The sequence below is a fragment of the Homo sapiens genome, chromosome 1 (assembly GCF_000001405.40).
Source record: "Homo sapiens chromosome 1, GRCh38.p14 Primary Assembly".
Classification (NCBI taxonomy): Eukaryota; Metazoa; Chordata; class Mammalia; order Primates; family Hominidae; genus Homo; species Homo sapiens.
Genome location: NC_000001.11, coordinates 230282209 through 230306401, shown reverse-complemented (window position 1 = coordinate 230306401; position 24193 = coordinate 230282209). Strand labels below are relative to the sequence as shown.

Here is a 24193-nt window from a genome sequence, read left to right as displayed (position 1 = left end):
CCCCACCACGAGAGGGCATTGACTTCCGCCCTCTGAGTCTAGGAGAGGTAAGCACTGTGCATCAATTTAGTTTTACTTTCAGAGCTTGGTACAGTTTGGATATTTGTCACCTCCAAATCTCATGTTGAAATGTGATCCCCAGTGTTGGAGGTGGGGTCTAATGAGAGGTGCTTGGATCATGGGGTGGATCCCTTATGAATGGCTTGGTGCCATCCCCATCGCAATAAATGAGCTCTCATTCTGTTAGTTACCTTTAGGTTTGGTTGTTTAAAAAGAGCCTGAAGCCAGGTACGGTGGCTCATGCCTGTAATCCCAGCACTTTGGGAGACTGAGGCAGGAGGATCACTTGAGGTCAGGAGTTCAAGACCAGCCTGGTCAACATCATGAAACCCCATCTCTACTAAAAATACAAAAATTAGCTGGGCTTGGTGGCAGGTGCCTGTGATCCCAGCTACTCAAGAGACTGAGGCACAAGAATCGCTTGAACCCAGGAGGCAGAGGTTGCAGTGAGCCAAGATTGCACCACTGCACTCCAGCCTGGGTGACTGAGCGAGACTCTGTCTCAAAAAACAAGAGCTTGGGGCCAGGCTTGGCAGCTCATGCCTGCAATCCCAGCACTTTGGGAGACCCAGCCAGGTGGATCACTTGAGGTCAAGAGTTCAAGACCAGCCTGGCCAACATGGTGAAACCCTATCTCTACTAAAAATACAAAAATAAGCTGGGCTTCTTGGTGGGTGCCTGTGATCCCAGCTACTTGGGATGCCAAGACCTGAGAATCTCTTAAACCTGGGAGGCGGACAGGGGTTGCACTGGACCAAGTTCACGCCACTGCACCCCAGCCTGGGTGAAAGAGTGAGACTCCATTTCAAAAACAAGTAAATAAAATAAAGAGAGACTGGCATGTCCTCCCCTTTCTCTCTTGCTCCCTTTCTCTTGCCATATGACATGACAGCTCCCCTTCCCCTCCCACCATGATTGGAAGCTCCCTGAGACCCTCAGCAGAAGCAGATGCTGGTGCCATGCTTCTCTGCAGCCTGCAGAACTGTGAGCCAAATAAACCTCTTTTACTGATAAATTACCCAGTGTCCGATATTCCTTTATAGCAATACAAAATAAATTTATTCAGAGCTCTTTCTAGGCCTTTTTACATACATGCAGCCTTTTTCTTTTTTAAAAACATTAATTGGATCAGATTATACATATTTGTCACTTTTTCTCTTATCATTGATCTTTATTTACATGTGTCTACGCTATTTTTAAATGATGTAATATATGCCATAGTATATATGTACAAAGATAACAAAATTATTCCCCCATTGATAAGCTTTTAGAATGTCTGGCTTTTTTTTTTTTTTTTTTTTTTTAGATGGAGTCTCTCTCTGTCTCCAGGCTGGAGTGCAGTGGCACAATCTCAGCTCACTGCAACCTCCGCCTCCCGGGTTCAAGTGACTCCGTCCCTTCCTCTTGGTGTATAGATATATGACATTTAATCACACTTGTAGACTCCAGTAATCACCACCTCAGTCAGGACGTGAAACTGTCCTATCTCCCCAAAGAAACTCCCTTATGCTACTCCTTAATAGCCTGGCCCAATATGTTCTTCTTTCTTTTTTTTATTAAGATATAAACATGCATGATAAATTATGTAAATTGTACTATCAAACATATAAACTGTAAAATAAAAAATAGCTTAAAAATTCACTTTTACATAATAGCTTTATTGAGATATGATTTAGGAACCAAAAAGCCTACCCATTTGAAGCGTAAGGTTCAGTGGTTTTTAGTATATTTATGAGGTTGTGTAATCATCACCATAATCTAATCTTAGAACATCTTTTTTATTCCCCAAATAATCCCCGTCAACAGCCACTCCTCACCCCTCATTCCCTCGCCCTCTAACCCTTGGGAACAGCTCATCCACTTTCTGTCCCTGCGGATTTGCTTATCCTGGACATTTCATATACGTGATATTGTATAACATGTGGCCTTTCGTGGCTGGCTACTTTTGCTTAGATTCTTCCATGCTGTGGCGTGCATCAGTACTTCAATCTTGTGGCTGAATAATATTCCCAGGTAGGCATACATCACATTTTATTTATCCACCCATCATCAGTTGATAAACATTTGGTTGATTTTCACATTTTGGCTATCACAAATAGTGCTGCTATGGGATTTGTGTACAAGTTTTTGTGTGGATTTAATATATTTTCATTTCTCTTGGGAGACGGCCAGGGAGTGGAATCTCTGGGTCATGTGGTGACTCCACAGCTAATCTTTTGAGGAACTGCCAGATTGTTTTCCAAAGCGGATGCACCGTTTCACAATCTCACCAGCAATGAATGAGGGTTCCAATTGCTCCTCATCTTCGCCAACAGTTGTTATTGTCCCTTTGATTCTGAGTGGGTATGAAGTGGTGTCTCACTGTGGTTTCAATTTGCGCCTCTCTGATGACTAATGATGTCAAGCATCTTTTCATGTGAGATCTCTTTTCAAAAACTCACTTTAAGCCTGGTGCAGGGTGCATCCCTGTAGTCTGAGCTACTCGGGAAGATCACTTGAGCCCAGGAGTTCAAGGCCAGCCCGGGCTACATAGCAAGACCCCACCTGAAACAAACAAACCTTACTTTAACTCTTAGGTGGAGAAAGTATGGAACAGAGGCAAGTGTGGCTGCAGAAAAGCCAACCTGCCCCCACCAGGCATGAGAAGGCCAGTGCCGGGTCTGGACTCACTGAGGAAGAGAGGGGGAAACTCATAAATTAGGATCTATTTTGTAGGAAAGAGTTAAGAAAGGGCAATTCCCAGGCCTTGGGGAGTCTGTGCAGGCTGGGGTCAGAAGCTGAGTCCCTCACTTCCAGAGTGGCACAGTGTCCTTTACTCTTATTTAAGTCACTTCGTCTTGCCTTGTCACTTAGAGCACCACCGAGGGCTTTTAGAAGAGTTCCTTAGTGTCAAAGATTCGAACCTGCCATGAGGAGAGGACTTGGACTAATTCGATGTACAGTTTAGTGGTCAGAATTAGAGGCAGATTTGGGCTCCATACAAGGAAATTTTGTCTAATGGTCTGAACAATCTGCAATGAGCTTTACCACTCCAGCAGCTGTGAATCTGTCCACCAGATGGTGAGCTGTCCGTGTGTTTTCGAGGGGCTGCCCTCAAAGGAAGTGATGGCCAACTTGATGGATGGTGAGGTCTACTGTGACCCCAGACTCACCATCCTTAGGATGAAAGTTGAGACTAGATACTGTATTAAGACACCCGGGTGCTTTCATATGGTGCTACAGTATCTGGACCCGTTAATGATTACTGATTGGGAGACAGTGGGTCCTCAACACAGTTCTGGGTACTCTGGGGTTGCAGAGAAGCTTAAGGATAACAACAGCTGACATCGTTTTAATGCCACTTTTTAAGAACCACACATTCTACTAAAGGCTTTAACACACATTAATTTAGGATTAAAAATATTTAATCCTAACAACAACGCTTTGAGGTAGGCACTCTTATTATCACTAATTGGCAGATGGAAAACTGAAGCACAGAGAGGTTAAGTAACTTGCTCAAAAACACATAGCTCGTAAGTGATCAAGCCAGGATGTGAATTCAAGCAGCCTGATTCCATGGCCCATACTTTTAGTTATTATACCACATGGCTAAGATGTGGCTGCAGGTAGATTTTAGCCAACCTGGAAAAACCTGCTTTCATTCTATGGAACCACTTAGAAAATACACAAGGCAACGTGAAATTCAGAGGTCATTGTTGTCACTTCTTAAAAGTGCAATTTGAATTGAGAGAGCACAGAGCTCAAAGTATGGCCCCCCCTGAGTTGATTTGTAGGAGGAGTGAGTAAAGAAGGCCGGATCTAGAGGAGGGGCTGTCTCAGGTGCATCCCAACTGGGAAGAAGCTTCCATAAAGAAGTGGGGAAACTGGAAGGGCCTTGCTGAGGTCTCCAATCAGCTTTAAAGATTTGAACCTGCCATGAGAAGAAGACTGAACTAATTCAATATAGCTCAGGGGTCAGAATTAGAGGCAAATTTGGGCTCCATACAAGAGAATTTTTTCTAATCGTCTGAACAATCTGCAATGGGTTTTACCACTCTAGCAGCTGTGAATCCATTCTGTGAATCGCAGAGCTCTAGAGAAGGTTCTAAAAGGAAACTCGAGAGACAGCCGGCAATTCCAGCATGCTGCGGTGCTGGAGGTGGACACTTCAGGCACTTTTTACTCAGAGACCTTGTAGAGAGAGAGGGCTCTGTGACCTTCCCGCCACTCTACTGTACAGAGCTCCTGTCTAACAAGGAGCCAGAGATCCATGTGCTGACATCGCGGATGGGCTGCCCTGCCCACTGGAGCCCAGCCCTCAGTGCTCTCAAAGACACAGGGACACCTGGCTCATTTAGAGGCTTCCAGGCTGGGCGTGGTGACTCATGCCTGTAATCCCAGCACTTTGGGAGGCTGAGGCAGGCAGATCACTTGAGGTCAGGAGTTCAAGACCAGCCTGCCAACATGGTGAAACCCTGGCCTCTACCAAAAATACAAAAGGGTGTGGTGGCGGGTGCCTGTAATCTCAGCTACTCAGGAGACAGAGGCAGGAGAATCGCTTGAACCCAGGAGGCAGAGGTTGCATTGAGCAGAGATCGCACCATTGCACTCCAGCCTGGGTGACAGAGCGAGACTCTATCTCAAAAAAAAAAAAAAAAAAAGGCTTTGAGTTAGACTCCAGAGGGAAAGCAGCCCCAAAGCCCACAGGGTGGCATGCCTGGCTGAGGACCAACTGACCTGTGGAGACGCCAAGGCCAGCCTTGCCGACCCTGTCTCACCTTGCTTGAACTGTGGTTCTCAAGCCCTGCAGGTGGTCAGGCCCTTGGAGTCCACAGCACTTGTTAGAGAACACCAGGCACTGTTGACAGGCCACTGGAAATACCATAAATGTCTATGCGACTGCAGACACAGCCACACCGAGTCCAGCATGGCCAGGTGGCTGCCGATGCTAAACACGGACATGCTCGTGGGAGCGGAAACTCCATGCAGAGGAAGGCCCAGCTGTTATTTCTTCTATATTATTTTTTTCAGACTGGGAAAATAAAGCCATTATTCTATCACCCCCCTCACCCGTGGAAGTTCAGAGTTCAAGGGAGGGGACTAGAGAGCAAAGGCCTCCAGAGAGCAGGCGAGGGGCTGCCAGGGCCACTGAGCCTCTGCAGGGTGCTCAGCCACCACGTCCGGACAGAGCTTGGCCCCTCTCGTCAGGCTTCCTGGGTGTGCCTCAGTGATTCCTCCCTGCCCTGCCCCACTCACACCTGTCAGCAGCCTGGTGGTGAAGGGGAAGCTTTCTCTGCTTAGCGGGCCGGGCTGTCTTTATGCCCAGCCGGACGCATCCTTGCTAGGCATTGAGTTGACAGTGCAGCCGCCCCGGAAAAGCTGGGGTCTCGTGCGCTGCGGTACGGGCATCTTCCAGCAAGAAGGGTGAGGAGGTCCCCAAGGTCTTTCCAGCACCCCTGGGAGAGACGGGAGTCTGTGAATAAAGCCTTGGGCGCAGCTGAACGAAGGACTTTTTCTCTCAGCACAACTAATGTGAGAACACTGTCACCTGCTTCCATCTCTGGGGAATGCATTTTCTGAACAGGTGCTGGCCCCGGCCCTCCCCTCCACACCACCTCTGCTTCAAATGGGAAATCTAAACCTCTCAAGGCCCAGAGGCTGTTTGTTTCTCTCTTATTTCTAAGGCATCCACCCATGAGTGCTAGAGAAACCTACCTTTCCTGCTGTTGGAGCCTTCTAGGACCTCCCTGTCTCAAAAACTATGACCAGCACCGTGCTCATGATCAGCGGGCTGGTGCGCAGTGGTGGGGATGGCCTTAAACCCCGACTGCCCAGGTAACACCCTCATTTCAGTAATGGCCCATCATGATGGCAAGCCTTAATGGGAGGTGTGGTGGGCAGAACGAGGAGCCCCGACCCCGAAACAAAGAGGCTCACCTCCTAATCCCCAGGACCTAAGCCTATGTTACTTTTCACAGCAAACAGGAATTCAGGTAGCAGAGGAGTTCAGGTTGCAATCAGCTGTCTGTGAGGCAGGGAGAGGACCCTGGAATATCCTGTGGGTGCAGTGTCATCACAAGGGTCCTTGTGAGTGAGAACCTTTCCCAGCTGTGTTTACAGCGGAGACACGGCTGTGAAGAACGCAGGAGGTGCAACGTTGCTGGCTTTGATGATGGATGGGGGGATGTAAGCCAAGGGGCATGGACACCTCTAAAAGCTGGGCACAGTGTGAAGTGGAATCCTCCCTCAGAGCCTCCAGAAAGGACTGCAGCCCTACAGACACCTTTACTTTCGCCCAGGGAGGCCGTGTCAGACTTCTGACCTCCAGAGCTGTAAGGTACTACATTTGTGTTGTTGCAGCCACCAAGTTGGAGGTCATTTGTTACAGCAGCAACAAGAAATCAATATGGAGGTGATTTCAGGCCCCGGAGGGATTCTGAGGGCAGTGGGCACATTCAGGAGTTTCAAGTCAATACAGTGGTGACAGGTGCCCAGCACCTTACTTCCTCGGGGCGAATTTGCCGAAGAGCGGAGAGAGCAGGTTTCAATGCAAAGAGGAAGAACCAGGAAACAGTCACATCAGAGCATCTGCTTTTGTCCTTGCCAAATGCACAGGCACAGATCAGCTTGGAGAACTCCCTTTTGTGTTTCTGGTTCAAGGAACGGAGCCCTCATTTCTCCCTGTGCTCGTGAGGAACAGGAAGTCAAATGAAAGTTTAAAAGGATGACGCGGCTGGAAAAATCATTGTAATCGTGAGTACTGTCTCAGGGGCAGCCTTTAGACTTTGCCCAGTTTATCTGTCACCAAACAAAGGATCATAACAGGGACAGGTCCATTGTGATCTGTCTGCTGGGAAGAGCCTCACAGCCAGGGTGGAGACACAGAAAGAAAGGACAGTTGGGATGCACATGGAAGGCAGACCCTCCCTCTGGGTGAACGGCCTGGCACAGGGCCACTGTAGGAAGATCTGGCACCTCTGGGCCCTTTTTCTGCCTCTTCCCTCCCTCAGGCTGACCCTGCATTTAAAGGAGTGGAGGCAGGGCCTGGTTGTCAAACTGACAGGCCACATACCCAGAGGGAGGAAGTCGCTCTCCAGTGGAGAGACGATCTCTGGCCGTGGAGTCAGTACTTGTGAATTTCCACCAAGCTCTGTTATTGACGATGATCTTGAGCAATCGTGGGTTCCCCTTGAGCCCTGGGTTCTTTATCTTTTTTTTTTTAATTATTATTATACTTTAAGTTTTAGGGTACATGTGCACAATGTGCAGGTTAGTTACATATGTATACATGTGCCATGCTGGGGTGCTGCACCCATTAACTCGTCATTTAGCATTAGGTATATCTCCTAATGCTATCCCTCCCCGCTCCCCCCACCCCACAACAGTCCCCAGAGTGTGATGTTCCCCTTCCTGTGTCCATGTGTTCTCACTGTTCAATTCCCACCTATGAGTGAGAACATGTGGTGTTTGGTTTTTTGTCCTTGAGATAGTTTACTGAGAATGTTGATTTCCAATTTCATCCATGTCCCTACAAAGGACGTGAACTCATCGTTTTTTATGGCTGCATAGTATTCCATGGTGTATATGTGCAACATTTTCTTAATCCAGTCTATCATTGTTGGACATTTGGGTTGGTTCCAAGTCTTTGCTATTGTGAGTAGTGCCGCAATAAACATACGTGTGCATGTGTCTTTATAGCAGCATGATTTATAGTCCTTTGGATATATACCCAGTAATGGGATGGCTGGGTCAAATGGTATTTCTAGTTCTAGATCCCTGAGGAATCGCCACACTGACTTCCACAATGGTTGAACTCGTTTACAGTCCCACCAACAGTGTAAAAGTGTTCCTATTTCTCCACATCCTCTCCAGCACCTGTTGTTTCCTGACTTTTTAATGATTGCTATTCTAACTGGTGTGAGATGGTATCTCATTGTGGTTTTGATTTGCATTTCTCTGATGGCCAGTGATGATGAGCATTTTTTCATGTGTCTTTTGGCTTCATAAATGTCTTCTTTTGAGAAGTGTCTGTTCATATCCTTCACCCACTTTTTGATGGGGTTGTTTGTTTTTTCTTGTAAATTTGTTTGAGTTCATTGTAGATTCTGGATATTAGCCCTTTGTCAGATGAGTAGGTTGCGAAAATTTTTCCCATTTTGTAGGTTGCCTGTTCACTCTGATGGTAGTTTCTTTTGCTGTGCAGAAGCTCTTTAGTTTAATTAGATCCCATTTGTCAATTTTGGCTTTTGTTGCCATTGCTTTTGGTGTTTTAGACATGAAGTCCTTGCCCATGCCTATGTCCTGAATGGTAATGCCTAGGTTTTCTTCTAGGGTTTTTATGGTTTTAGGTCTAACGTTTAAGTCTTTAATCCATCTTGAATTAATTTTTGTGTAAGGTGTAAGGAAGGGATCCAGTTTCAGCTTTCTACATATGGCTAGCCAGTTTTCCCAGCACCATTTATTAAATAGGGAATCCTTTCCCCATTGCTTGTTTTTCTCAGGGTTGTCAAAGATCAGATAGTTGTAGATATGCGGCATTATTTCTGAGGGCTCTGTTCTGCTCCATTGATCTATATCTCTGTTTTGGTACCAGTACCATGCTGTTTTTGTTACTGTAGCCTTGTAGTATAGTTTGAAGTCAGGTAGTGTGATGTCTCCAGCTTTGTTCTTTTGGCTTAGGGTTGACTTGGCGATGCGGCCAACTTTTTTGGTTCCATATGAACTTTAAAGTAGTTTTTTTCCAATTCTGTGAAGAAAGTCATTGGCAGCTTGATGGGGATGGCATTGAATCTATAAATTACCTTGGGCAGTATGGCTATTTTCACGATATTGATTCTTCCTACCCATGAGCATGGAATGTTCTTCCATTTGTTTGTATCCTCTTTTATTTCATTGAGCAGTGGTTTGTAGTTCTCCTTCTGAAACTATTCCAATCAATAGAAAAAGAGGGAATCCTCCCTAACTCATTTTATGAGGCCAGCATAATCCTGATACCAAAGCCGGGCAGAGACACAACCAAAAAAAGAGAATTTTAGACCAATATCCTTGATGAACATTGATGCAAAAATCCTCAATAAAATACTGGCAAACAGAATCCAGCAGCACATCAAAAAGCTTACCCACCATGATCAAGTGGGCTTCATCCCTGGGATGCAAGGCTGGTTCAATATACGCAAATCAATAAATGTAATCCAGCATATAAACAGAACCAAAGACAAAAACCACACGATTATCTCAACAGATGCAGAAAAGGCCTTTGACAAAATTCAACAACCCTTCATGCTAAAAACTCTCAATAAATTAGGTATTGATGGGACGTATCTCAAAATAATAAGAGCTATTTATGACAAACCCACACCCAATATCATACTGAATGGGCAAAAACTGGAAGCATTCCCTTTGAAAACTGGCACAAGACAGGGATGCCCTCTCTCACCACTCCTATTCAACATAGTGTTGGAAGTTCTGGCCAGGGCAATTAGGCAGGAGAAGGAAATAAAGGGTATTCAATTAGGAAAAGAGGAAGTCAAATTGTCCCTGTTTGCAGACGACATGATTGTATATCTAGAAAACCCCATTGTCTCAGCCCAAAATCTCCTTAAGCTGATAAGCAACTTCAGCAAAGTCTCAGGATACAAAATCAATGTACACAAATCACAAGCATTCTTATACACCAATAACAGACAAACAGAGAGCCAAATCATGAGTGAACTCCCATTCACAATTGCTTCAAAGAGAATAAAATACCTAGGAATCCAACTTACAAGGGATGTGAAGCGTTCTTTATCTTTTATGGAAAGAAATGACCGACTGCCAAGAGTGGCTGGAAGGGCCTGGGTGCTTGCTGGGTGCCAACAACCCATATAAGACAACAATAACCCATAAGAGACAATAACCAACAATAACCCATAAGAGACAACCAATACAGAAATGTTCACAATTTTGGAGGCCAGGCTTCTGAGGCTGCACTCCCTACAGAGACTCAGGGAGAATCTGTTCTTCACCTTTTCTCACTCCCAGGGGCTGCCGGCGTTTCCTGGTGTTCCTTAGCTTGCAGACGTATCTCTCCAATCTATGCCGCCATCTTCACATTCCCTTCTCTTCTCTGTGTGTAAAATCTCCCTCTGTCTTTCTCTTTTTGAGGCAGGGTCTTGCTCTGTTGCCCAGGCTGGAGGGCAATGGTTCAAACGTGGCTCATTGCAGCCTCAACCTCCTGGTCTCAAGTGATCCTCCTGCCTCAGCCTCCTGAGTAGTAGGTACTACAGGAATGTGCCACCACACCTGGCTCATTTTTTAATTTTTAATTTTTTTGTAGAGAAGGAACCTCACTGTGTTGGATAGGCTGGTCTCGAACTCCTGGGCTCAAGTGATCTTCCTTCCTCAGCCTTCCAGAGTGCTGGGAGTGACAGGTGGGAGCCACAGTGCCCAGCCTGTCTCTCTTTTATAGGGACACTTATGGTTGGATTGAGAGCCCATTTGAATAATCCAGGATCATCTCTCCATGTCAAGATACTTAATAATAATTGCAAAGAATATTTTTCCTTATAAGATAACATTTAAGGCTCTAGAAATTAGGACCTGTGATCTGAGAAACCAAAATAGACACCCCTTTATCAACTAAGACAGACCCTGAGGTTAAAGAAACAAAAGGTACCTAGGAGTTGAGGGTTCGGGGCCCAGCTGGCATGGAAAATTTCTAAATTCTTATGGCTGCAAGGAAAACCACTGTCTTGCAAAACTCCCTAACAATAGAAGCTATCAGGCAAATGATCAGATCCTGCCTCACTCGGCTTTATACCCCAGACCACAACAACTCTGTTGGACAGAGGACCAGCCTTACAAATGTTCTTTTCTGATAAACACCTGCAGACTTGAAGCCAGTTTCAGCAGCTTATAGAGGCTGCGCACAAACTTTGTGTCATATAGTTCACCTTCTGACTTGAGCCAAATGCCACCTCATTTTAATGCTAAAACCTTGCCCCAAAATGAGCATGGGATGTATGTTATATATATGGTTACCCATTGCACATGTGCTCAACTCCCCTCATAAACATGCATAGCGTCTCCCCCAAACCTGCTGAATATGTATTGTTTTTTGGGGTAATGCAGACCTCGTTAGGCATAAAACCCAGCCTCTCCGTTCCCCTCTGAAGAGCGCACCTTCAGTCCACACTGGAGATGATCTCTTCCCAGTTTGCAAGCTGATGCTACCAATATAGCTCTCCTTCCTACTAGTGAGCCATTCTGATGGCCTTTTGGATAACAGACCTTAATATCTTTGGTCAGGCCATTATTCAGCCTACCAGAGTCCTCCCTTGGGTCTCCAAAGATTCATGTCTGTTCCACATGCAAAATATATTTACCCCATTTCAATGTTCCCAAAAGTCTCAATCCACTACAATCAACTCATGTCCAAAATCTCATCTAAATCTCATTAACTCAGAAATTCCAAATCACAGCATCTGATTAAGATATGGGTTAGACTCTGGATCTGATTCATCCTGGAAAAAAATTCCTTCCTATCTCTGGACCTGTGAAACTAGAAAATCAATTTATTCCAAAAGCAATGTGGTATAACAGGTGTGGTATAACAGCGAAACAATGATAGACTCTCCCATTCCAAAAGGGAACAGTGAAAGGAAGAAAGGAGTCATGAGTCTCACGCAATGAAGGACTCCAGCAGGGCAGGAGTTCCATTAGGGCACGTTCCATTAGGGCTCGGGGCTGGTGATAACCGTCTATGGCTTGGGCTCCACCCAATGGGCTCATGGCTCTATATGAGAGATTGGGACCTAACATCTTTGCGTGGCAATTATTCAGTCTACTATAAATATAGGTTGGTGCAAAAGTTATTAAACATAATGGCAAAAACCCCAATAACTTTTGCACCAACCTAATACTATCCAAGTGTCAGTTGATATTATTGTATCAACTGTATCAAAGTGTATCTATTTGTTTGCTTATTTTTGTAGAGATGAGGTCTTGTGTTGCCCAAGCTGGTCTTGAACTCCTGGCCTCAAGTGATCCTCTTGCCTTGGCCTCCTGAGTCGCTGGGAGGACAGGCATGAGCCACCGCGCCCAGCCTCAGAATGTATTTTTTTTACTAAAAGTATAACACTTTCAGCACAGTTGTATCTTAGCAATCCCCAAGACAAGTCTGACTGATGGGCATTGCTCAGGCCATCTGGCCCTTATGGAACTAAACTTTCTGGCCCCTTCTTTCTTTCTGGCCTGCAGGTCAGCTCCGGCTGATGCCTGGTGTGGGTGGGATTATGAACAGAGGCAGAACTGATTTGAACTGGACCCACCATCTCTGGGCAGCCCTCCACAAGCCATTTCATTCCTTGAGCACATTGTACCCTTTCCAGTCTCTCTCTAGGGCCCCTCTCCCCGAATGCTTGGGAGCAGGATAAGGGATTGAAGGCTCCTGTCCTGAAGCTGTTTACCTGTTTGCTCACAGCACCTGCCAGGCCACCGAGTCTGAGCAATTCTATGGTCATCCTGCCCTCTCCAAAGAGCAGGCTTTCCCATGGGGAGACACTACAGATTCTCACATGAATGACGTCCCTGTCTGCTGCCTCTTGCGTGCTCCTTGCCATAAAGTCTTTCCACAAACGATGGTTGGAAAGACCTAGACTTTGAAGAGGCCAGCATAGTCCCTGCAGAAGGAGGAGAGAGGCAGGTTGACACAGGCCTCCTGGTATGAAAGTTCCTGGGATCTGTCTCCTTCCACAATGACAGCACCACAGCAAATCCAGCATCCTCAGGCCGAGAGGGTGATGGGGCTGGCGTCCATTCTCGGGCTTAGCTTCTCCTTTCTCTCCAGCTGCGTTCAGCTGCTCACTGATGCCCATCTGCTGGTTCCCCCTGTTCACTGACTCCTCTGCCTCAAATCCCACGTCCTGGGTGCTCAGAGCCTCCCAGGCTGAATGCCAGTGTGTCCCAGCCTGGATGCCAGCGTGCACGTGGTTTAATCCTGAGGGCAGTGAACATCTGTGTGTTTTCCTAACAGGAGGATGCCTTCATACAAAGCTCTCAGGGAAAAGCATTGACAAGCTTATTGGAGGGGGCTCTTCATCTCCAGGATGGCAGTGTGACCCACCCGAAGAGTCCAGCCAGGCATCGGGAGCACAGGTGCCTTCCACTAGAGCATGCTGCCTGATCCACACACGGACACGGGTGCATCTGGCTCTCTGGGTCTCTGCCTTCTCTTGCTGCCTGTGAGGCCATCATCTGATTCTCAGGGCAGTGCAGGGTTAGTTAGTAGTGGATGAGTCAAGTTAATGAAGCTTAATAATCAGGTTAATGAACTGTGGCTCTCCCCTCTGGGAGACACATATTGTAGCAGCAGCCGCCACAGGACAAGTGATTTTAATAACACCACAGGTGGCGTGCTAGCAGGACAGGTGTGGACACGCTGAGAGAGGCTTTTCAAAATCTCTCCATTTCATTGCCCAGGCAACAGCTCTTGGAAAGGCCGCTGACATGCAGGCTGTGTCCATGAGCTTTCCCATCCGCTCCTTGCTCTAAGGGTGTCTCCCATGGACACGTCAGAGAGGCCCTCCCTAGAATAATGCACCCCTGAGACGGCCTCACGATTTGGATTTGCTGCCTCTGGGACTAACTTGGCTAAAATTAAAACAAAAACAAAAACAAACAAAGAAAAAATGTGTTTGGGGAGAAAACATCTGAATTTTTAGAGCAAGAGAAGGAGAGAGAGGAAGGGAAAGAGAGAGGCAGGTTGAGAGAGAGAGGGAGGGAGGGAGAAAGAGAGAGAGGGAGAGGGAAAGAGAGAGGGAGCAGGAAAGAGAGGTTGAGAGAGAGAGAGGAGGGAAAGAGAGAGGCAGGTTGAGAGAGAGAGAGGAGGGAAAGAGAGAGGCAGGTTGAGAGAGAGAGGGAGGGAGAAGGAAAGAGAGAGAGGTGGAGAGGGCAAGAGCCTGCGAGAGGCAATTAATGACAGTCAGTCAGGTATGTGAGACCCAAGCTGCCAGCCTGAGCTTCTCTTCTCCCAGAACGGCCATTATGAAAAGGGGCTTTTGACAGACAAGAGCGCCCATCACTCTGGCAGCTGTGCCCCGGCCCCCTCTCCGACCTCGCCTCGCCGGGATGCGGTGTCCTTCTCAGGAGCCCTGCTATCCCTGGCAGCAGGAAGAGGACATGGTGGACATTTCCTGATTCTATTCACCTGACGTGGCTAGAGCCCCAAGAACCTATTTCCTCCCTTTCCTCACCTGCTTGGAGCATCCAAGGGCACAGGAATAGGGGACCTGAGGTCACGCTGTCATTCGAATCCAAGGGAGAGTGTGAGGAGCCGGGCGGCAGAGCAGCACCCCAGGGTGAGGGGCAGAGAACAGCCACCGTAGAGGAGGACCTGCCACTCCCCGCTTCACCACTTGCCCCCTCACCGGTCCCCCATTCACGGCTCCCCGCCTCACCGCTCCCCACCTCACCGCTCCCTCCTTCACCGCTCCCCACCTCACCGCTCCCCCCACACCGCTTCCCTCCCTCACCGCTCCCCCCTCCCCCTCACCGTCACTGCTCCCCACTTCACCACTCCCCACTTCACCGCTCCCCCCAGGGAGCTGGCCCTATACCCAGCCGCTTCCTTAAAGAGTTAGCACAAACAAAGCAATTAAGTGTCTGAAATTCTTCAAAAGGAAGAACTTGTACTAAGATGATTTCTTCCTTTTTTTACACACAGGGTCTCACTCTTTCACTTAGGCTGGAGTGCAGTGGCACAGTCACAGCTCACTGCAGCCTCCAACTCCTAGGCTCAAGCGATCCTCCCACCTCAGCCACCCAAGTAGCTGGGACCACAGGTGCACACCACCACACCTGGCTAATTTTTTAATTTTTTGTAGCAACAGGGTCTCACTATGTTGTCAAGGCTGGTCTCCAACTCCTGGGCTCAAGTCATCTTCCCGCCTCAGCCTCCCAAAGTGCTGGGATTATAGATGTGAGCTACTGCCCCAGGCCTAAAATGATTCCTTAAACACACTTCTTAGTTCTATTTCCTGGCCTTTCAGGTGAGGTGGAAAAGGGTGGCCCAGACTATCATTTTATTCATCACCCAAATCTTTCATCCAGGAGAAGAAGAACAGAGAGGTTAGAGGGCTGTGTTTAGGTGGGTTACATGCAGACCTGTTTCTAAAGTGCAGAGAGGGAGCTGGCAGCCTCAGCCCCAAGCTCAGCATCCATGAGGGATTCTACTTTCTGGGTAACTGTGCAGATCAAGGCCTGATTCTTCACCTCCATGAGCTCTCACTGTCTGCATTTGAATACTCTCTGCAACCCTTATTCATTTTGTTACCTACTTTGATTTTTAGAATGTCTGTCACTCAAAGTCCTCTGAACTAAAAAATTCCAAATTGAAACTACGAGGTGCAGATCCATGGTATTAAACCCCTTCAAGCAGCAGAAGGGGGAATGGTTTTCTGACGAAGCAGGTCATGGTAGAGGGGGAGTGAGAGAATCTCACCACCCCAAGGCTCTAACTTTGTGAATTTCTTTTCTTTTTTCTTTTCTTTTTTTTCTTTTTTTTTTTTTTTGAGACAGAGTCTTGCTCTGTTGCTCAGGCTAGAGTGCAGTGGCGCGATCTCGGCTCACTGCAAGCTCCGCCTCCCAGGTTCACGCCATTCTCCTGCCTCAGCCTCCTGAGTAGCTGGGACTACAGGCACCTGCTACCATGCCCGGCTAATTTTTTTGTATTTTTAATAGAGATGGGGTTTCACCGTGTTAGCCAGGATGGTCTCGATCTCCTGACTTCGTGATCCACCCGCCTCGGCCTCCCAAAGTGCTGGGATTACAGGCGTGAGCCACCGCGCCCGGCCAACTTTGTGAATTTCATTTCCCCATTTAACTGAGGAGGAAGCTGAGCACAGAGAACGGAGATGGTGAGACTGAGGTCATGTAACAGGGTCCACATCCGAGCCATGAAGCATCCAAGGGCACAGGAATAGCGGACCTGAGGCCATGAACCAAGCAGTCCGGCCCCAGAACCACAACCTGAGCCCTACCCACTACCGCTTCTCCAGGCCGCCATGCAACTCAGTAATAACCCTTTGGTATGAAGTGTGGGCAATCCCTATTGTCTAAACTAGCCACGGCCTGAACTAAGTGCCTTGTGCCTCCTCAAAGTGTGGTTCCCAGGCCAGCAGCATCAGCATCACCTAGGAGTCATTAGAACTATAAACTTCCACCAGGCACAGTGGCTCATGCCTGTAATCCCAACACTTTGGGAGGCCAAGGTGGGTGATTACTTGAGACTAGGAGTTTGAGACCACCCTGGGCAACATAGTGAAACCCAGTGTCTACAATAAATACAAAAAATTAGCCAGGCATGGTGTTGTGTGCCTGTAGTCCCAAGCTACCCGGGAGGCTGAGGTGGGTAGATTGCTCAAGCCTGGGAGTTCAAGGCTGGAGTGAGCTATGATTGACACCACTGCATTCCAGTGTGGGTGACTCTGTCTCTAAAAAAAAATGAAGATGAGGGCAGGCATGGTGGCTCATGCCTGTAATCCCAGCACTTTGGGAGGCCGAGGCGGATGGATCACCTGTGGTCAGGAGTTCGAGACCAGCCTGGCTAACATGGTGAAACCCCATCTCTACTAAAATACAAAAATTAGCTGGGCATGGTGGTGGGTGCCTATAATCCCAGCTACTCTGGAGGCTGAGGCATGAGAATCACTTGAACCTAGGCGGCAGAGGTTGCAGTGAGCCGAGATCACACCACTGCACTCCAGCCTGGACAAGAGGGAAACTCCATCTCAAAAAGAAAGAAAGAAAGAAAAAAAAATGAAGAAGGAGAAGAAGAAGGAGTAGAAAAGAAAGAGAAGAAATATGAATTCTCAAATCCCACCCCAGTCCTGCCGAATCAGGAACTTGGGGACTGGGCCCCGGGACTCGGTTTTAACAAGCTCTCCTGGAGACTCTGCTGTGCACTGAGGTTGGGGAAGCGCTGGTTTGGTTTCCAACCCAGCTGTACTTTCTGAGCCTCTGGGGAGCTTTGCAAACACAGCTGACCTTAGCTCCAGGGACTGCAGGATTGCATTGTTGTTGTTTCACTCCCAAGGTAATTGGAATATGCAGCAAGGTTTGAGAAGCACAAGTGTCATACAAAGAACAGGGCTTTGAAGTTTGAGAGCTGGGTTCAAATTCCTGTTCTGACATGACTCACATATGCCTTAAGCTTTCTAAGTCCTACTTGGTCCGTCTGTTGAAAGGTGGAAGTGAGCCCTGAATGAGAAGCTGGCATCATTTCTGGAGCATGGCAGGTGCCCAGTGAACATTAGCTCTCATCTTCTAAGCTCCCAGCACAAGCATGGCCCCCCAGCTGATGCCAGAACACATGTTGGGAGTGTCGGAAGGAGGACCCAGGTGAGGGGAGCATGTCATGGGATGGGACCTTAGAAGCCCTGTCCAGTGCTGAAAGCTGACCATATGGACACACAAGTGTGTACCCTGTGCCGTGAGGTTTGGAGCTGGCAGGAGGTGCAGCTGAGCCATGCATGTGGCGTGTGGGAATTGCGAGGGCTCTGGGCTTGTATGAGTCAGCTTGGAGCTGCCAGAACAAAACAGTGCAGGCTCGGGGGGGCTTGCACAACGCACAGCCCCGGATGCCGGAAGTCCAGGATCAAGGTGTCTGCAGGGTTGGTTGCTCCTGAAGCCTCTCCATGGCGTGGGACGGCTGTCTTCTCCCTGCGTCCACACGTGGCCGCCCCTTTGTGTGGGTCTGTGTCATCATCTCTTATAAGCACAGCAGTCAGACTGGATCAGGGCCATCCTCATGACCTGCCCACCTCCCTAAGACCCCACCTCCTAATATCATTGCCTTGGGGGTTAGGATTTCAATCTATGAATTTTGGGGTGGAGGCACACAGACATTGACATCTCCTGAATTGGCCTCTGGTTGGCCCCTTGTGTGATGAAATGGGTGCCGCAGTGAAGCTCATGAGCAGGGCTGGTCCTGGTTGGTGTGCAGTTACCTGCGGGCCAAATTCTACATCTTCAGCTCTACAATCGTGGGTTTCTCTCAAACATATGAAGTGCAGACAGCCTCAAAATCCCCAGTGCAGGGGGCTGGGGGAGTGGGAGGGAAACAGTGGCTACCCATGCCACCCCTTAGCTCGGCCCTCTGCCCCGGAGCCAGAAGTTTCCGGAGAGTTCTCTGTCCCCTCGCTGTCCCATCAGCCTCAGCTTCTCAGGTCCGTCCCAGACATCCCCACCTGAACCAGTGGCCACACACCCTGTCCTCCCCTGCTCCAGCCCCGTGTTCCTCACATGAGGAGGATGCTCCTCACCTGCTGGCATCGGACCAACTTCCTTGTTGCCAAAAATCCAGGTACCTCTTCCCAGAGCTCACTGTGCTCTGGCTCGGGCCGTGGGGCAGCCTCGTTTGTCCCGCACCTTCCTTCCTTTCCTTCCAGCTGCCTCTGCCCAGCCAGCAGTGTCTTGCTCGGTCCTTTCCAGCCTGTGTGTGGATCTGTGTTTCCAGGCCCCTGTCCTCCCTCTCTCTGCCGTCCCCCTCTCTGGTGGTCTCTGACGTCACTTCTAGGCTGTAAAAATGCAGGGCTGACACCTCCACCCTTATTTCCCGGGTCCCCGTGCCATCCCACATTCCCTGAAGACTTGGCAGATGTGGAAATCCCATTGGCTCCCCTGCTCCAGTCCCTTTCCTTCTGGACGGCCCACAGACCTGCCGGGAAAGCTGGGGAGGCTCATGGGCCGGGGCTGCAGCTCTGGGCTGGCCTAGATCAGAGCGCAAATTAAAAAAAATTTTTTTTGAGACAGGGTCTTGCTCCAGGCTGGAGTACAGTGGTGCAATTATGGCTCACTGCAGCCTCAAACTCCTGGGCTCAAGCCATCCCGAGTAGCCCAACCACAGGGGTGCATCACCATGCCCAGCTTATTATTATTATTATTTTGTAGAGATGGGAGTCTCACTATGTTGCCCAGGCTGGTCTCAGACTCCTGGACTCAAGCAATCCTCCTGCCTTGGCCTCCTCAAGTGCTGGGATTGCAGGTGGAGCCACTGCATGGCCAGGAGGCACTTTTCGTGCTTCCTCTCTGATCTTGACAATGATTTTCCAGGGTGAACAGAAGGGTTCCCATTTCACAGAGCAGGCTCAGTGACATCCCATGGTGACACAGGTGGTGGGTGGCAGGATGCAGCGGTGGAGCCCATCTCTCCCACCCCTGAGTCTCCTGACTCCTCCCCTCCAGCCCTCATGAGCCGGCGGGCGGAGGCGACTCCAGCTTTCCCTGTTAGCAACGGGAGTCACTGCCCCTCCCCTGGCTACGACCAAAGGCCCATTTCACTTCCCATCACCTCCTGTCCCCGTGTCCCCACCGGACCAGGAAGAGGACAGTCACAGCCTGGGTGCTTAACTTGGCACTGTGTGGGTAAATTAGGCAAATGACTTAGCTGATCAGAGCCTCAGTTTCCCCAGGGGTAAAATGGGGTAACGTCTTTGTGTAGAGATGAGAGGTTATTTGAAGGGTGGGACACCCATTCCAGGGCCTGAGAAGCCGCACCCAGTGCCACCTCCTCTGTTCGCCCCTCTTCCTTTCCCTCAAGTGTTTCTTTTCACTCCTGGACTTCACTCCTGTGTGGCACCCGACAGTGGTGGCTATGCATTTACATGCTCTGTCCCAGGATGGGCTCCTTCCCATCCTACCCGCCCTCCTGCCGCAGACCTGGCAGGCCCAGATGAGGCATCAGGCAGCACCCACTCTGCATATCCTGAGCTGGAGTCCAGGCCAAGCAGTCTCCGAATGACAGTTTCGTGGCTGAGGCCACGCAGCGGCGCAGAAACGCCTCCGTCTTTCCACCTCAAGAGGCACTTTGTGAAGGTCCTTGCATTCAGTACTCTGGCTCCTTGCTTGCCGAGCAGTCTTCTGCCCACTTCCTTCCCATGCGGCTTCAATAGGGAGAGAAGCTGACCAGCAAAATCCCACGCCCCTTGGCCCACGTGTCACAGATCAATGGGTGGGCACTGTGAGGACAGCGTGGCTTCCCTAGAGCCTGAGTGGCTCAGCCTCACCCATCTGCCAGGGTACCCTCCAGCTGTGATTTCTCAATATAAATGCAAATCAGGTGACCGACTGTGAGTCTCTTGGCTCCAGCAGCGCCTGTCCTCAAGGGCGGTCTGTTCCCGTTTTTGCTCTTGGAATCAGGATTAGAGCTCTGGGCAGCTGCCTGGGCGCTGGAGAACACCCCTTTGACCCTGCAGCAGGGAGATGACAAAGTCACGGAGGCTCCAGGACAGTGGGGACCATGCATCTCACCGACATGGAGATGCTTAGAATTTAGGGGGTCCAGCAACTTAGATGGGAAAAATGATATTGTTATTTTCACAACCTCCAACTGAAATGGAACACTCTACAACGAATGTCGACAACAAAATAGGAACTTTGTCACTAATTAAAAAATCACAGATATTTTCATCACATTAATTATTGTAGCTTTTTCAAAACATTGTTTATGCTCATCACTACTTTAAATTATGGCAGCAATTAGACAGGAAGACTTGTTATTTAATGCATTAAGAAGCACATATTAGGAAAATATTTTGATAACTGTGTCTTGGCATAATTAGACTTCTTTATAATCCCATGTAATCAATGTGTTTTATTCATTTGAACACCTTCTGAGAGGAGGCCCTGAGTTGATGGCTCACGCCAAAGGAGTCCATGGCATCAACAGGGTGAAGGGGCTCAACAGGGTCTGCGACTGCCTCTCTTAGGATGAAGGAATCCTGAGACCACGCTGCCACCCCTGTCCATCTGCTGCTGCCAGAATTCTTCCAGTGATGGCAAGTGTGGTGGGCACTGGGCTGCTCAATGAGTAGTCATCCCTTCCCTGTCCTCCTTGCCAGCAAAACCCACTTCCATGACATGGGAGGAGGTGGGAGGTGACTGCTTCCCGGCTTCCCAAGGACCCGGCTCTGGGCAGTGCGACCCGGGAAGACTAAGAGGTGGGGAGTCTAAGGGGTGGGGAGTCTAAGAGGTGGGGAGACTAAGGGGTGGGGAGACTAAGGGGTGGGGTGGTCACTGGCAAAGGTGCATCTTCCCTAAGTCAAAAAACAAAGATGCACAGGAGGCAGCACGCTCCAGGTCTGTTCAGTGATAAATGTTAGACGTTTGTCCACTTCAAGTCTCATGTTGAACTCTGACCCTCAATGTTGGAGGTGAGGCGTGGTGGAAGTGTTTGGACTGTGGGGGTGGGTTCCTCCTGAATGGCTTGGTGCCATTATCACAGGAGTGAGTGAGAACTGATTGTTGAAAAGAGCCTGGCTCCTCCCGCCCCCCTCGCCATGCCATGCCTGCTCCCCTCTGCCTTCCACCACCAGTGGAAGCTTCCTGAGGCCTCCCCAGAAGCAGACGCTGGAGCCATGCTCCTCGTACGACCTGCAGAACCATGAGCCAAATAACCTACCGTTTCCAATATTCCTTTACAGCAACGTGAACAGACGGAGACCCGAGCACCCACTGTACTAAATGAACCACGGTGGGAGGGGATGGAGGGGAGGGGCGCTCGGATAGGGAGCAGTTTGTCCACAGCAATGTCAAGCCCCAGGATCAACGTGGAATCCCATCACCTTTGGATTTCTTGTTATACAAGACAACATCTCTTTTAATCTCGCCTCCATTTAGGTGGGCTTTTTATGGAAGCTCTCCAATAGACAATTCTGCCAACTTGAGAGCAAGAAGGACAGTCTCAGGGAAACTCCGCAGCGAATGTGAATCAGTGGCTTCGGTGCCGCGCAAGGGTTCTTTCCACGCCCTTCAGGAGGCTGGCACCTTGTTGAGACTGGGTCTTTATTCCTGAAGAGGAAATCATGGCTACTGCTCTACAATGCTCCTTATAATTGCATCCAGAGTCTGGTTCAAATCTGACTCACCCGTGGGTGTCACCTGGGCTGAGGACCAAAAGGTCTTCTCTGTAGCCCCTGTCCAGACCACCCTAGCCTGGGACCCCAGGAGCTCAGGCAGAAACTGCTAAGCGAACACTCCTCTTTGGAACCCTAGGGGAGACGACAGCTTTTGGAAACAGGATGTATGTTATTTGCAGGCACAAACAATGCATAAAATCAAATACAGCAATTGTATTAGGAGATTGCTGAGAAATAGGCAAGAACTGCTGAGAAGAGAGTTTTTTCTTCTCTTCTGTAGGTAAGTCCATGAACAGAAGAGTGTGTCAGAGGCATTTTATTTTTCTGGTTGAATATTCTTGACAATGTGAAGTTATACCGCAGAATCCAATCACTGAGTTGGGTTGGATATTTCATTCTGAAAAGCGTTGCAAGTCTGACCCTCTCTGCTCCAGTCAGGAACTCCTGTCATTCCCCACCCCCACAGCCTTCCCCAGCATTCACAATGCTCACACACGGGCCCGCCTGCCAGTCTGTCCTCTTCCTCCCAGGCTGTCCCCATCAGGGGATCTTGCTGCTATGTCCTGGTGATGGGACTTCTCAGACGCTGAGCCCCTGCCGGCAACGCTCTCCCTCGCCAAGTCCGAATCCCACAGAACCTTTGAGACACGGCTCCAACAAGGGTGCAGCACCCGCCAGGCCGAGAGCCTGCATTTGGCTTGTCCTATTTGTCACCATTTAACGTGTTTCCTCCTCAGCCTGGGTCTTCTTTGGGACTATCAGCACAACACAGGTTTTCAACAAATAGTTACCGAATAAATAAACCTCTCCCTGTTGCCAGAGCAGGCACCACACACGGGATCCCTAAGGGGCTCCAGTGGGTGCTACAAAACGATGCTGAGAGTTCCTTTAGTCTTCTCAGATGGCAGCAAATTTTTGGTGTCCCAAATAATAGGGAAAGAAAATGGATTACATGTGGTCTCTAGAAGGTTTCAGACACTCATTTGGGCCAGTCCTGCCAGTGGCCAACCTCCTACTTCACCCCAATGTCAATCAAAATTGCTAAATAATTTGGGCCAGGTGCGGTGGCTCATGCCTGTAATCCCAGTACTTTGGGAGGCCGAGGCGGGTGGATCACTTCAGGTCAGGAGTTTGAGACCAGCCTGGGCAACATGGTGAGACCTCGTCTCTACTAAAAATACAAAAAAGTAGCCGGGTGTGGTGGTGGGGGCCTGTAATCCCAGCTACTCGGGAGGCTGAGGCAGGAGAATCACTTGAACCCAGGAGACAGAGGTTGCAGTGAGCCAAGATTGCACCACTGCGCTCCAGCCTGGGCGACAAAGTGAGACTCTGTCTTGAAAAAAAAATTGTTAAATAATTGGTCAAGGTTATGTTTCCTTGAACCCTTGTGGGGCTGTTCAAATGTAGGTACTTTTGCTTCTGTTGTTGAGATGGGAATCTTACTTCGTTGCCCAGGCTGGTCTTAAACTCCTGGGCTAAGCGATCCTCCTGCCTCAGCCTCCTGAATAGCTGGGATTACAGGCACGCACTACTGTGGCCTGGCTCAAATGCAGGAATTTAAAAGGTACCGAAGGTCAGGTGCAGTGGCTCACGCCTGTAATCCCAGCACTTTGGGAGGCCGAAGCTGGCGGATCACTTGAGGTCAGGAGTTCAAGACCAGCCTGGCCAATATGGTGAAACCTCATCTCTACTAAAAATTCAAAACATTAGCCAGGTATGGTGGTGAGTGCCTGTAATCCCAGCTACCTTGGAGGCTGAAGCGGGAGAATCGCTGGAATCACTGAGGCGGAGGTTGCAGTGAGTCGAGATTGCGCCGCCACACTCCAGCCTAGGTGACTCCGTCTCAAAAAAAATAAAATAAAACAAATAGTATCTGAAGAACCTCAGAGACGCCTGGATGGAACCGAAGAGCCCCAGGTAACTGGTAAACAAGTCTATAAATCTTAACTACTTGAAAAACTGTAAAAATATTTGTCCCCTGGTTTGGAGCACAGGGTCTGGGTGCGAGTGCCAAGGGCTGGCTCCAGGCAGGTACACAGGAAGGACGTGACCTTGAGCAGGCTAGCAACTTCCTTCACCAGCTTCCCCTGTGGCTGTAAAATGCAAATGTATTTAAGGGCTTGGCTGGGTGCCTGGCACATCATAAACACTCCACAAATGATAATGATTATTATTACAAGTAAGAATAACCAACCAAAGGGCACAGCAATAAAAGCGCATCTGCAAAAGGTGATAAGAAACAGCCACTGAGCAGGAGCTGC

At 49.0% G+C, this 24193-nt stretch overlaps 5 annotated features.

Moving 5' to 3' along the window:
- Nucleotides 1-90: a silencer, noted in NCBI's record as "silent region_1939". NCBI's record gives its function as "represses an Ori minimal core promoter by ATAC-STARR-seq in GM12878 lymphoblastoid cells {active_cell/tissue: GM12878}" and the evidence as "EXISTENCE:reporter gene assay evidence [ECO:0000049][PMID:35858748]".
- Nucleotides 10565-11066: an enhancer, noted in NCBI's record as "NANOG hESC enhancer chr1:230431082-230431583 (GRCh37/hg19 assembly coordinates)". NCBI's record gives its function as "activates a minimal SCP1, AML or CMV promoter by ChIP-STARR-seq in primed H9 embryonic stem cells {active_cell/tissue: H9 hESC(primed)}" and the evidence as "EXISTENCE:reporter gene assay evidence [ECO:0000049][PMID:30033119]".
- Nucleotides 17770-18269: an enhancer, noted in NCBI's record as "H3K4me1 hESC enhancer chr1:230423879-230424378 (GRCh37/hg19 assembly coordinates)". NCBI's record gives its function as "activates a minimal SCP1, AML or CMV promoter by ChIP-STARR-seq in naive H9 embryonic stem cells {active_cell/tissue: H9 hESC(naive)}" and the evidence as "EXISTENCE:reporter gene assay evidence [ECO:0000049][PMID:30033119]".
- Nucleotides 19454-19953: an enhancer, noted in NCBI's record as "H3K4me1 hESC enhancer chr1:230422195-230422694 (GRCh37/hg19 assembly coordinates)". NCBI's record gives its function as "activates a minimal SCP1, AML or CMV promoter by ChIP-STARR-seq in primed H9 embryonic stem cells {active_cell/tissue: H9 hESC(primed)}" and the evidence as "EXISTENCE:reporter gene assay evidence [ECO:0000049][PMID:30033119]".
- Nucleotides 23943-24102: an enhancer, noted in NCBI's record as "active region_2717". NCBI's record gives its function as "activates an Ori minimal core promoter by ATAC-STARR-seq in GM12878 lymphoblastoid cells {active_cell/tissue: GM12878}" and the evidence as "EXISTENCE:reporter gene assay evidence [ECO:0000049][PMID:35858748]".